Here is a 13,829-nt window from a genome sequence, read left to right as displayed (position 1 = left end):
CCTCTAGCGTTCCTCCAAGTAAGAGCGGCTCCCAAGACCAATCTGCAACCCAGCACCTTTGAAATATTATATGGTCCTTTTGAGTCTTCACAGGGGTGCCTTGTAAAGGCATTAGAAAAATATACCAATGTAGATGCTGTCTCTGAGGCAGGTCAAATTCTTCTGGGGACTCATTTTATTAGTCAATCTGCTCCAGATATTAAGAGAAAGTTACAAAAACTGGCTGTAAGTCCCCAGGCACCAATGAATGAGCTAATTAATGTAGCCTTTGAAGTCTTCTATAATGAGACAGAGTAGAAGAGGCTAAAAAGTGAAAGAGGGAAGAGGCAAGAGACATAAACCAGGCCTCCGATTATTGGCCCTTGCTATCAGAGAGAACAAGCCAGTCCAGACCAAGCCCCAATCTGGGGACACCTGCTACACTTAAAACCAGGACACTGGCCCCAAAACTGCCAGACCAAGGGACAAAATGCCCAAAAGTCCGCTCCACCTAGACCATATCCACAATGCAGAGATGCCAGTCACCGGAAGCAGGACTGCCCCCAACTCCGTAGGGAGACAGGGGCTTCCAATTCCTTGATGGCCCTGACTAAAGACTGAGGAGACCCAAGGCTAACACTGGCTGTCATTCAGTCCCCATTACCACAGAGGAATCCAGTGACCCTGCACGTGGCAGGTGTAGCTAATTTTCTATTACATACAGGGACCAGCCTGTCAGTCCTTACATTCTGCCGTCGACCCTAGTAGGCCAAATAGGCCAAACACTGCACTGCCACGGGAATTGATGAAAAACCCGGACCAGATACTTTACCCAACCTTTTTACCTTTTTTTTTTTTTTTTTTTGAGATGGAATCTCACTCTGTTGCCCAGGCTGGAGTGCAGTGGCACCATCTCGGCTCACTGCAAGCTCCGCCTCCTGGGTTCATGCCATTCTCCTGCCTCAGCCTCCTGAGTAGCTGGGACTACAGGCGCCCACCACCACGCCCGGCTAATTTTTTGTATTTTTAGTAGAGACGGGGTTTCATCATGTTGGCCAGGATGGTCTTGATCTCCTGACCTCGTGATCCGCCTGCCTCGGCCTCCCAAAGTGCTGGGATTACAGGCGTGAGCCACCGTGCCCAGCCACCCAACCTTTAATTTGCAGACTCAAGGACGTGAATGCCTAACTCCCTTGTTGCTACCCTCGTTGGGGGCTTCTTTAAAACCAATGAAACCAACTGAACCCCTTCTCATAGGAGCACTCTCAAAAGCCCAGCTGACCACCATAACACACCATAGTCCAGAGAATCCAGGACATTGCCAGCTGGGTGCATCTCTCTAGGATAAAAACTGTTTCCCTTACGTTTCCACAGGACTCTACATCAACAACTAAAAATTAAAAATCCTTTTGTAAGCCTATAGAAGACCTAACATTCATTTTCAAGAAAAGATGCCAACACCCCAAATAAAGAGATTAATATTACTTTAACATAAGGTAGTCCCATCTCAGGTCTCCTATTTGTAGGAGCTCTTTTTGTTCTTCTGCTTGCTGAATAATGATGTGATGCTTCATTCTGCTACCTTTCATGGGACCTACAATAGCCATCTTATTACTACTGACCTTTGGTCCTTGCTTGTTTAAGCTCCTTTAAAGTCTGTGTCTTCTAGGTTACAACAATTCCTAGATTGATAGTTATGCAAGGATTTCAACTTATCCCAGTGGAGGATATGACCCCTATCACTTTAAATCAGGCAAGAAGAGACTTTCGGGCCCTGGTCCTGTCTCAGCACGAAGCAGCTCCAGAAAAAATGACCCAGCCCTCCACATTTCATAAGAACATGGACCCAAAGTCTCTGAGGGGGAAAATGAGGTCGGTTAGATACAGTGGTCATAGCCTCCTTTAAAGGGGAATGAACTTGCCAGATTGATGTAGAGAACAAACCGCCCACTGGTGCATAAACTGCATCAGGCTCCTAGTTAGAACATCCTGCAGCGAAGAGGATGAACAGCAGAAGGGAAAATCCCCAAATTCACACAAGTGCAGAAACCCATGATTAGAGTGTCCTTGGAATGACCTATGCTCATTTTAATGCTAAAAAACACACCCCTGGGTGAGGAATTAAAATGCTAATGAGACATGTGATGTGGTGTACTAGCACGCACATGCACATCTGGGAGACCCCGTAACATGCTTAACAGTAATGCCCATTCCCGCTCCTTTATGAATAATTATGTAAATCTCCCATAAAGGGAAGCTCATCACTGCCAAACAGACACAGCTATCTCACACGTGTGTGTGTGTGTGTGTGTGTGTTAGAGATGGGGGCTTGCTCTTTCGCCAGGCTGGAGTACAGTGCCACGATCTCGGCTCACTGCAACCTCTGCCTACGCCTCCCAGGCTCAAGTGATCCTCTCACCTCAGCCTCTGAAGTAGTTGGGGCTACAGGCACTGCACCACTATGCCCGGCTTTTTTTTTTTTTTTTTTTTTTTTTTTTTTTTTTTTTTTTTTTTTTTTTTGAGACGGCGTCTTGCTCTGCTGCCCAGGCTGGAGTGCGGTGGCGCGATCTCGGCTCATTGCAACCTCCACCTCCCTGGTTCAAGCAATTCCCCTGCCTCAGCCTCCCGCGCAACTGGGATTACAGGCGCACGCCAGCCACCAAGCCCGGTTAATGTTTTTTAATTTTTAGTAGAGACAGGGCTTCACCATGTTGGCCAGACTGGTCTGGAACTCCTGACCTCAGGCAATTCGCCCGCCTCGGCCTCCCAAAGTGCTGGGATTACAGGCGTGAGCCACCGCGCCCTGCCCACGCCAGGCTAATTTTTGTATTTTTAGTAGAGACGGGGTTTCGCCATGTCGCCCAGGCAGGTCTCTCACTCCTGGGCTCAAGCAATCGTCCCGTCTCAGCCTCCCAAAGTGCTGGGATTATAGGCATGAGACACCGCGCCAGGCCACTGTCTCACTGTCTTGGTAAATGCAAGCTACTACAAGTGCGCGTGACCCAGGACTGCCTGGGGGCAGGAGCTTCCGCCAGCCAATTCCCGCGCACGTGGATGCGCACGTGGAGGGCGAGCAGGAAGAGGGCGCGCACGTGGAGGGCTAACAGGAAGAGGGTGCGCACTTGGCCGGCGAGCTCCCCAGCTGGCGGCGGCGGCGGCTGTGAGCTGGCCGCTTGGTTTGGAGTCGGAACTCAATCCCCAGAACTGGATCTTTAGGTTCCACGTTGGCGGCCCTGGATCTAGGGACGCAACTCTTGGGGTCCTCCCACTGCGCCGCCTGGGGAGCCTGCTCCTGCTTCCTTTCCCGGCTAGCTGGCCCCGTCCTCTGAGGCCGTGCGAATTCCCGCCACCCTCCCTCACCCCGGAGCCCTGCCCTTCCCGCCCTATGTGGCCAAGGCTTCCAGGTGCGGGCCTCGCTCCACAACTCAGGAGGCAGGATCAGCGGCTCCATTTTACAGGTAAGGAAACTGAGGCCGAGGAACCGCAGGGGCGCGTGGTTAGCGCTCAGAGAGCACTCGACTTCCCTGGGACTCCTGGCTGGTCCAGGCCTTGCAGGTCAGCCCCGGTGCGGCCGCCGGGCTACTCTGGCGCTTTTCAGGTTCCTGCGACCCCGCGTGGTTCGGGTTCCGACGTGAGCCGGGCCCTCCTCTCCACAGGCCACTGCGCGGCCGGCCTTGGTGGGGTGGAACCTTAGATTGGTTTGAGAACTGGTTTATGTTTTGGTTGATGTGGCATGTTTTGTTTTGATTTTTAATGTTCCCCAGGGTGCAAAGGGTAGCTGGTGTTTTCTTTCCAGAAAGGCTTTCTATTCCCAGCCCCTGCCCGGTTTGATGGATGTGGAGTTTATGATGCTGGAGACCGTTTTCTTTGTGGGTAGAACGCATCTCCTTTCATCTTTCAAATTGTGAGCTCAGTCCTTGCTGACAGGAGCCGCTGCTCTCGCCAGCATTCCCAAGCTATTAAATATTTGTTTAAAAGGATGGATATAAAACATGATGTTAGGAATAAGGCGTCTTGAAAAAGCAGTATTCGCAGAAACAGCACCATTGTAATATTCTGAATTCATCTTGGCTCTTTTGACATCAGGGCCCAAAGCACTTGGGATTCCGTAATTATTTGGCCTCATGCTACACTTTAAGACAGATTATTTTATTTTTCTTGTAGTCAGGAAAGTAAAAGAACAAAAAAACTGAGATGACATGTTGAAATCTCACTGCGAGGACGCGAGGGAGGATGAGGGAAGCGGGGAGGGCGGCTGAACGCTAAAGGCTGGGGCTGGGGTTTGCAGGATTCGGGGAGACAAGAGCCCAGGCAGAGGGATGTGCTGGGCAGAGGGGGCGCCATCCATGGGCTGCATTGTAGAGTGAGCATGGCCAAGTCAAGGAGCTGAACAAGACGACTTCAGTCCTGAACCTGGAAAGAATGTGAGATGGAGGAGAAACAGGTCCTGGCTGGCGGGTATTGGGCCCCAGGAGGGAAAGAGATAACAAAGTTAAGTTTGGAGACTAACGCTGTCTCCTGTTTGACTGGGGGGCCTTCATATCCCCTCCCACGCTGTCAGGACACGTACTGTAGGCACTGGAGCAGGTCACACCAACTAGAATGATCGGTTTCCATCCATTCCGGGATGCATTTTTGTTCACATTTTAGCAGCTCTGAAGTTGGGCTGGGTCCCACAGTTTGTGTCTTTCTTTGTGTCATCGTTCACTTGGCAGCTTTTTGTCGGTCTTAGTGGCACAGAAAGTCACAGTGCCTTAAACCCAGCAGCATCTTAGCTGTGATGAAGGAGTCAGCCATGGCCTGAGTCCAGTAACTGCAGGATCCAGAGTTGGAGACGCAGGCAGAGAAGATGACCCACCTCAGCCTGCACCCTTTTGTTGTTTATGTCTTTGTCTTTGAAAGTGCTTGTTTCAAGGCATGTGAGGGAGGGGATTGGCAAAAGCAAAAACCTGGAAACAACAGATAGACAAATGAAAAATGTGTTACTTTGTGGTTGGGAGAGGGAAGAAACAGCTGGTAGCTGCATCTCCCTTCCAGGTAAAATTGGAATGCCATATAATCACTGGTAGATAGCACCTTTGAGTGAAAGGCATTTTGCAGCAGCTAGAGTCAGCTGCCCACTGAGCAGGCAGCCCTGGCCCAAGAGCCTCATAAGCAGCCAGCCAGTCTGAATACGCTGATTGGGCCAGTGAGCCCCAGGCTTCATCATCTGCTTGAGTCTTGGTGAGCCCTGGGTCTGTCCTATGACAGAAACTTCCTGCTGCTGTAAGCTCCTCTAGGGCAGAGACTGCATCTTCCTCATCCTTGAGGTCCCAATGCTCAGCATACTGCCTGACACATAGAAGATGCTAAATTGGGGTTTGTTGAGCGGGAACTGTATTGAACAGGTTGGGCAAATTGTCTTCCTGGTGGCGGAGTGAAAGTTTTTATGTACCACTTTGGCAGGGCACAGTGGCTCACACCCGTAATCCCAGCACTTTGGGAGGCTGAAGCGGCAGATCACAAGGTCAGGAGATCGAGACCAGCCTGGCCAACATGGTGAAACCCCATCACTACTAAAAATTAGCTGGGTGTGGTGGCACCTACCTGTAATCTCAGCTTCTCAGGAGGCTGAGGCAGGAGAATCGCTTGAACCCGGGAGGCGGAGGTTGCAGTGAACCGAGATTGTGCCATTACACTCCAGCCTGGGCAATAAGCGAAACTGTCTTGGAAAAAAAAATTCATAGCAGATTTATTCATAATACCTTGAAACAAGAAATAACTCAAATGCTCATCAACAGCGGAATGGATAAATAAGTAGTAGTTATTCATATGATGAAATATTGTATAGTAATAAAGATTACTGAACTGCTGCATGAACTACTGCTACAGGCATATAGCATGCAACAACATACATTTAGCAGTAGTTCGTGGATGATTTTCACATGCATAATGTTGAATAAAATATATGCAGAAGTGCACAAAATTGATGATTTGGCTGGATGCAGTGGCTCACGCCTGTAATCCCAGCGCTTTGTTAGCTGAGGTGACCAGATCACCTGAGCCTAGGAGTTTGAGACCAGCCTGGGCAACACAATGAAACTGTTTCTACAGAAAAATATAAAAATTAGCTGGGCATGGTGGCACATACCTGTAGTCCTAGCTACTCAGAAGGCTGAAGCAGGAGGATTGTTTGATCCCAGGAGGTTGAGGCTGCAGTGAGCTGTTATCACACCATCCGAGTCTGGGCAGCAGAGCGAGACTATGTCTCAAAAATATATATATATGATTTTATGTATGTGAAGTTCAAGAACAGGCAAAATAATCGGTGGTGATAGAGGCAGAGTAGTATAACCTTTGGGGTTATTGACTGGAGGAGGTACTTCTAGAATGTAAGAAATATTCAATATGTTGATCTGGTAATGGTTACCATATGTATGTATATGTGTATATATATGCACACACAGACACACATTTATACTAAATGTACACATATGTACATAAAAATCAATCATGCTGAACACTTAAGATTTGTGCATTTAGAGCCAGGCATGGTGGCTCATGGAATCCCAGCACTTTGGGAGGCTGAGGCAGGAGGATTGTTTGATCCCAGGAGTTCAAGGCTGACCTGGTCAAGGTAGCAAGAACCCTGTCTCTACAAAAATATTTTAAAATTAGCCAGGCATGGTGGTGTGTGCCTGCAGTCCTAGCTACTCGGGAGGCTGAGGCAGGCGGATTGCTTCGGCTCAAGAGCTGAAGGTGGCAGGAAGCTATGATGATGACAGTACACTCCAGTCTATGTGACAGAGAGAGACTATATCTCTAAAATAAAATAAATTAGACTGGGTGCAGTGGCTCACGCCTGTAATCCCAGCACTTTGGGAAGCCAAGGCAGGAGGATTGCTTGAGCCCAGGAGTTCAAGACCATCCTGGGCAACATAGCAAGAACCCTGTCTCTACAAAAAAAAAAAAAAAAAAAAAAAATTAGCTGGGCATGGTGGTGTGAACCTGCACTCCTAGCTACTCAGGAGGTTGAGGCAGGAGGGTTGCTTGGGCCCAGGAGTTCAAGGTTGCAGAGAGCTGTGATCATGACATTGCACTCCAGTCTACATGACAGAGACAGACTCTGTCTCTAACAAAAATAAATAAATAAATTAGGCCAGGTGCGGTGGCTCATGCCTGTAATCCCAGCACTGTGGGAGACTGAGGCGGGTGGATTGCTTGAGCTCAGGAGTTCGAGACCAGCCTGGGTAATATGGTGAAACTCCATCTCTACAAAAAATACAAAAATTAACCAGGCATGGTGGTGCACGCCTGTCGTCCCAGCTACTCGGGAAGCTGAGGTGGGAGGATGACTTGACGCTGGGAGGCAGAAGTTGCAGAGCCAAGATTGCACCGTTATACTCCAGCCTGGGTGACACAGCCAGACCCTGTCTCTAAAATAAAATAATAATATATATAAAGTATGTACATATACTATATGAATATATATATTTATGTACTGTAAGTTATACATCAATTAAAAAGTGAAGAATGTTTCTTGTGTGGGTTATGGATCCAAGTGTGAAATACAAAATAATAAAAATTCTCAAAGCTGGCATATGAAAATATGTTCATGACTTTGGAATAAACGAAGATTTTTTCTTTTTTTTTGAGACAGGGTCTTACTTTGTCACCCAGGCTGGAGTGCAGTAGTGCGATCACAGCTCACTGCAACCTTGACCTCCTGGACTCAGATGATCCTCCCACTCAGCCTCCCAAGTAGCTGGTACTGCAGGTGCACACCACCATGCCCAGCTAATTTTTGCGTTTTTTTGTAGAGACAGGGTTTCACTGTGTTGCCTGGGCTGGTCTCAAACTCTTGGACTCAAGCGATCTGCCTTTCTCAGCCTCCCAAAGTGCTGGGATTACAGGTGTGAGCCCCTGTGCCCAGCCTAGAGGACAGTTTCTTTCTTTCTTTTTTTTTTTTTTTTTTTTTTGAGACGGAGTCTCACTCTGTCACCCAGGCTATAGTGCAGTGGCGCCATCTCGGCTCACTGCAAGCTCCGCCTCCCAGGTTCACGCCATTCTCCTGCCTCAGCCTCCCGAGTAGCTGGGACTACAGGCATCCACCACCACGCCTGGCTGATTTTTAGTAGAGATGGGGTTTCACGTGTTGGCCAGGGTGACCTCGATCTCCTCACCTCGTGATCTGCCTGCCTTGGCCTCCCAAAGAGGACAGTTTCTTAAACAGGATACAGAAAGCACCAACTGCAGAAGAAAATGTTGATAAATTGGGCTACATTAAAGTTAAGGACTTTTCTTTATCGAAATATACCATTAATAGAGTGAAATGATCCTTTGTGGTTCATAAGCATGATGATTGAGTGTTCACGTGCATGTGTGAGATGTGCCACCCTGAGACCTCGTTACGAAGTCAACGTATTACCCATTTGAGATTACCAAAAAAGAGTGAGTTGGGCGCGGTGGCTCACACCTGTAATCCTAGCACTTTGGGAGGCTGAGGTGGGTGGATCCCTTGAGGCCAGGAGTTCGAGACTAGCCCAGACAACATGGTGAAACCCCATCTCTACTAAAAATACAAAAATTAACTGGGCATGGTGGCGGGTGCCTGTAATCCCAGCTACTTGGGAGGCTGAGGCAGGAGAATCACTTGGACCCGGGAGGTTGCAGTGAGCTGAGATCGCACCACTGCACTCCCACCTGGGTGACAGAGTAAGACTCCGTCTCAAAGAAAAAAAATAAATAGAATGAAAGAGAAGCCATTCAGTGGAATAAAATATTTGCAGCGCATATAACTGATCAAAGACTCATTTCAAGACTGTGTAAAGAATACTTCACAGATCTAAAATGGGCAATAGACTTGAATTGGCACTTTACAAAAGAAGATGTCTATAGGTACCCACAAAAATTTAAAATGTAAAAATTGAAAAAAAAAGATATCTAGGTCAGGACTCCATATGAAAAGGTGCTCAACCTCATTAGAACCAGGGAAACCCAAATTAAAAAATGCAAGGAGGCTGGCTCGGTTGCTCATGCCTGTAGTTCCAGCACTTTCGGAGGCCAGGGTGGGAGGATCACTTGAGCCCAGAAGTTTGAGACCAACCTGGGCAACATAGAAAGACCTCCACCTCTACAAAAAATAAAAAATTGCCTGGGCATTATGGCATGAATCTGTAGTTGTAGCTACACAAGAGGCTAAGTTAAGGCAGGAGGATTGCTTGAGGCCAAGAGTTCTAGGCTGCAGTGAGCTATGATCACACCACTGCACTCCAGCCTGGGTGACAGAGCAAGACCTCATCTCCAAAATTCTTTTTAAAATTAAATTTTAAATTACATAAGGAGACCGGACACAGTGGCTCACACCTGTAATCCCAGCACTTTGGGAGGCCGAGGTGGGAGGATCACTTGAGCTCAGGAGTTCTAAACCAGCCTGGGCAACATGGTGAAACCCTGTCTCTACTCAAAATACAAAAATTAGCTGGGTGTGGTGGTGCATGCCTGTAATCCCAGCTACTTGGGAAGCTGAGGCATGAGAATTGCTTAAAACGGGGAGGCGGAGGTTGCAGTGAGCCAAGATTGCGCACTACTGCACTCCAGCCTGGGTGACAGAGAGAGACTCTGTCTCAAAAAAACAAACAAAAAAACCCCACAAAGAAACACCATTACACGCTGACTAGAATGGCAAACATTTAAGATACCAGCAATCTCAAGTATTGACAAGGATGGAACAGGAGAATTCTGACATGTGGCTAGTAGGAGGATAAAACTTTAAAACTGTTTAGCCCTATCTACTATAATGGACATACCTATTCCCTGTGACCCATCAATATGATATGTAGGTACATTCTCAACAGAAATGTGACTCAGTGCAATCCCGACTCACGTCAGTCAGAATGGCTGTTACTCAAAAGTCAAAAAATAGCAAATGTTGGTGAGGATGCAGAGAAAAGGGAACACTTATACACAGTTGGTGGGAATGTAAATTAGTCAAACCTTTATGTGAAACAGTATGGAGATTTCTCAAAGAACTAAAAACAGAACTACCATTCAACCCACCAATCCCACTACTGGGTATCTTCCTGAAGGAAGATAAATTGTTATATCAAAACGACACTTGCACTCATATGTTTATCACAGCACTAGTCACAATAGCAAAGTTATGGAATCAACCTAAGTGTCCATCAACAGATGATTGGATAAAGAAAATGTGATATAGGATGGGTGCAGTGGCTCATGCCTGTAATTCCAGCACTTTGGAAGGCTAAGGCGGGCAGATTACTTGAGGTCAGGAGTTTGAGACCAGCTTGGCCAACATGATGAAACCCCGTCTCTACTAATAAAGTACAAAAATTGAGGTTGCAGTGAGTGAAGATCGTACCACTGCACTCCAGCCTGGATGACAGAGTGCGACTCTGTCTCAGGAAAAAAAAAAAAAAAAAAATGCCTGGGCGCAGTGGCTCACGCCTGTAATCCCAGCACTTTGGGAGGCTGAGGCAGGCAGATCACGAGGTCAGGAGATGGAGACCATCCTGGCCAACGTGGTGAAACCCCATCTCTACTAAAATACAAAAAATTAGCCAGGCATGGTGGTGTGTGTCTGTAGTCCCAGCTACTCAGGAGGCTGAGGCAGGGGAATTGCTTAAACCTGGGAGGTGGAGGTTGCAGTGAGCTGAGATCACACCACTGCACTCCAGCCTGGCAACAGAGCAAGACTCTGTTTCAAAAAAAAAAAAAAAAAAAAAGTGATACATACACCATAGAATACTATGCAGCCATAAAAAAGAATGAAATCGGCCGGGTGCAGTGGCTCACACCTGTAATCCCAGCACTTTGAGAGGCCGAGGCGGGCGGATCACGAGGTCAGGAGATGGAGACCATCCTGGCTAACATGGTGAAACCCCGTCCCTGCTAAAAATACGAAAAAATTAGCCGGGCGTGGTGGCGGGCGCCTGTAATTCCAGCTACTCGGGAGGCTGAGGTAGGAGAATGGCGTGAACCTGGGAGGCAGAGCTTGCAGTGAGCCAAGATGACGCCGCTGCACTCCAGCCTGGTGACAAAGTGAGACTCCGTCTCAAAAAAAAAAAAAAAGAAGAAATCATATCTCTTGTAGCAACAAGGATGGAGCTGGAGGCCTGTATCCTACATGAAATAACTCAGAAACAGAAAGTCAAATACCACATATTCTCACTTACAAGTGGAACTAAACACTGGGTGTACTTGGATGTACAGAAGGAAGCCACAGACACTGGGGACTCCAAAAGTGGGGAGGTTGAAAGCGGGGTGAGGATTGAAAAATTACCTGTTGAGTATAATGTTCACTATTCAGGTGATGGGCACACTAAAAGCCGAAACCTCACCAGTATGCAGTATATTCATGTAACAAACATGCACATGTACCCTCTGAATCTATTTTTTTAAAAATGTGTGTGTGATTTTGTGTATGTAAAAGTCAAGGAAGATGATGTTCATAGAAGCATTCAAACATTTGGTATGGTGCATGTCAATGTATAGTAGTGCCAAACACCTAATTTTCTGAGAATCCATTCTGCATCAGGCCATGGGCTGAGTGCTAGGATGCTGAGATGAGACGACTTCCGTGCACTAAGGTGAGGAAAGAAGAGAACTGAGTCATCAGTGTGGAGAAGACGCATGTGAGGATGAAGAGGAATAGTTGAGAAGTTGTGTCATTTTTTTTCCGTTAGCAATGACGTTTTCTCCTCTGATGGACTTCAAAGTGCTCCCTCTTGCCGGTCGCCCCCCTCCCCCGCCCGCCCCACCCTCCAGCGATGAACTGCTGAACTTGCAGAAACCCTTGCAGAGTGCCCTGGGCTTCGTGATCTTGAGAAGCAGCCAAAACTGGAACAGCAAAAACCGTCAACGCTGGAGTAGAACAAAGGCCGGTATTATGCGTCCTAAACTTAGTGGGCTCTTACATTGTTAGGATGACACAGAAAGCACTTGTGCTCAGAAAAGAAACTGATCTAAAAAGGAGGAAATATCCTTCCCTCCTTCCCCCTCCCCCATTGCGTGCAGCCTTTGCTGTATGGAATTCTTCTTGGTGCATCAGCAGTTTCTGCTGCTTCTCCTATTTTATTCTTACCATCCCTATGGACTTTGCAACACTAAAACGTTTGCTTGGTTTAGTTGGTAGAGTTTTCTTGTCTTTGGCAAATGTTCCAGACTCATCTGAGATCCCTAAGTAAAAGTTTGTTTAAAGAGCAATTTTAATTCTTGACCCTCCCCACCAAAAAAAAAAAAAAAAAATTCCCAAAAGGCACGGTCGTTCACGTTTTTCTTTTTGTTGTTGTTTTTCTTTTTTTTTTTTTTTTTTTGAGACGGAGTCTCGCTCTGTCGCCCAGGCCAGAGTGCAGTGGTGTGATCTCGGCTCACTGCAACCTCCACCTCCCGGGTTCAAGCAATTATCCTACCTCGGCCTGCTGAATAGCGGGGATTACAGGCTCATGCCACCACGCCTGGCTAATTTTTGTATTTTCTTTACTTTTTTTTTTTTTTTTTTTTTTTGAGACAGAGTCTTGCTCTGTCACCCAGGCTGGAGTGCAGTGGCGTGATCTTGGCTCACTGCAACCTCTGCCTCCCGGGTTCAAGCAATTCTCCTGCTTCAGCGTCCCGAGTAGCTGGGACTCCAGGTGCCTGCCACCACGCCCAGCTAATTTTTGTATTTTTAGTACAGACAGGGTTTCCCCATGTTGGCCAGTCTGGTCTCAAACTCCTGACCTCAGGTGATCCACTCACCTTGGCCTCCCAAAGTGCTGGGGATTACAGGTGTGAACCACTGTGCCCAGCCCACATCGAGTTTCTCTAGAAGGTTTTATGTGTTTATTTATTTTATTTTATTTTATTTATTTTTTGAAAATGAGTCTCCCTTTGTTGTCCAGGCCAGAGTGCAGTGGCATGATCTTAGCTCACTACAACCTCCGCCTCCCAGGTTCAAGCAATTCTCCTGCCTCAGCCTCCTGAGTAGCTGGGACTACAGGCACCCACCACCATACCTGGCTAATTTTTTTTGTATTTTTAGTAAAGATGGGGTTTCGCCATGTTGGCCAGGCTGGTCTTGAACTCCTGACCTCAAGTGATTTGCCCGCCTTGGCCTCCCAAAGTACTGAGATTACAGGCGTGAGCCACCATGCCTAGCCCTGTTTTCACTTTTTGACTATTATGAATAATGCTGCTGTGGATATTTGTGTGCAAGATTTTGTATGGATATTTGTTTTCAGTTCTTTTGGATATTATACCTAGGAGTTTTTATTGTGGTCAGAAGATACTTTATATGATTTCAATGTTTAAGTTTATTAAGAATTGTTTTGGCCAGGCATGGTGGCTCACGCCTGTAATCCCAGCACTTTGGGAGGCCAAGGCAGGTGGATCATGAGGTCAGGAGGTTGAGACCATCCTGGCTAACACGGTGAAACCCCATCTCTACTAAAAATACAAAAAATTAGCCGGGCATGGTGGCACGCACCTGTAGTCCCAGCTACTCGGAGGCTGAGGCAGGAGAATCGCTTGAACCTGGGAGGAGGAGGTTGCAGTGAGCCAAGATTGTGCCACTGCACTCCAGCCTAGGCAACAGAGTAACACTCTCTCTCAAAAAAAAAAAAAAAGAATTGTTTTATGGCCTATCATATACCATATGGTCTATCCTGAAGAATATTCCATGTGTACTTAGGAAGAATGTGTATTCTGCTGTTGTGGGGTAAAGTGTTCTGTTGGTTTATAGTGTTGTTCAATTCCCCTACCTTCTTTTGGCCTTCTGTGTAGTTGTTTTATTATTGAAAGTAGTATATTAGATCGGGCGCGGTGGTTCATGCCTGTATTCCCAAACTTTGGGAGGCCAAGGCAAGCCTTCTGCG

At 47.2% G+C, this 13,829-nt stretch overlaps 1 protein-coding gene and 1 non-coding gene across 2 annotated transcripts in view, besides 2 other annotated features; both read left to right on the top strand.

Annotated features, from left to right (window-relative positions):
* Window positions 3,020-3,540: an enhancer, noted in NCBI's record as "H3K27ac-H3K4me1 hESC enhancer chr2:97651875-97652395 (GRCh37/hg19 assembly coordinates)". NCBI's record gives its function as "activates a minimal SCP1, AML or CMV promoter by ChIP-STARR-seq in naive H9 embryonic stem cells {active_cell/tissue: H9 hESC(naive)}" and the evidence as "EXISTENCE:reporter gene assay evidence [ECO:0000049][PMID:30033119]".
* The window catches only part of FAM178B (family with sequence similarity 178 member B), a 110,696-nt gene continuing 99,964 nt past the window's right edge, over window positions 3,098-13,829 (top strand). Inside the window, exon 1 of the mRNA NM_001122646.3 lies at window positions 3,098-3,437. Within this exon, the coding sequence (NP_001116118.2) occupies window positions 3,365-3,437 (73 nt within the window). The 5' untranslated portion in view covers window positions 3,098-3,364. The remainder of the gene's footprint in view (window positions 3,438-13,829) is intronic.
* Window positions 3,541-4,061: an enhancer, noted in NCBI's record as "H3K27ac-H3K4me1 hESC enhancer chr2:97651354-97651874 (GRCh37/hg19 assembly coordinates)". NCBI's record gives its function as "activates a minimal SCP1, AML or CMV promoter by ChIP-STARR-seq in naive H9 embryonic stem cells {active_cell/tissue: H9 hESC(naive)}" and the evidence as "EXISTENCE:reporter gene assay evidence [ECO:0000049][PMID:30033119]".
* Window positions 8,294-8,396, top strand: LOC124906158 (small nucleolar RNA U13). The gene has a single exon (XR_007088746.1). It is a non-coding gene; the product is annotated as a small nucleolar RNA U13 (small nucleolar RNA).

The sequence above is a fragment of the Homo sapiens genome, chromosome 2 (assembly GCF_000001405.40).
Source record: "Homo sapiens chromosome 2, GRCh38.p14 Primary Assembly".
NCBI lineage: Eukaryota > Metazoa > Chordata > Mammalia > Primates > Hominidae > Homo > Homo sapiens.
This window is presented reverse-complemented; position numbering and strand designations above follow the sequence as displayed.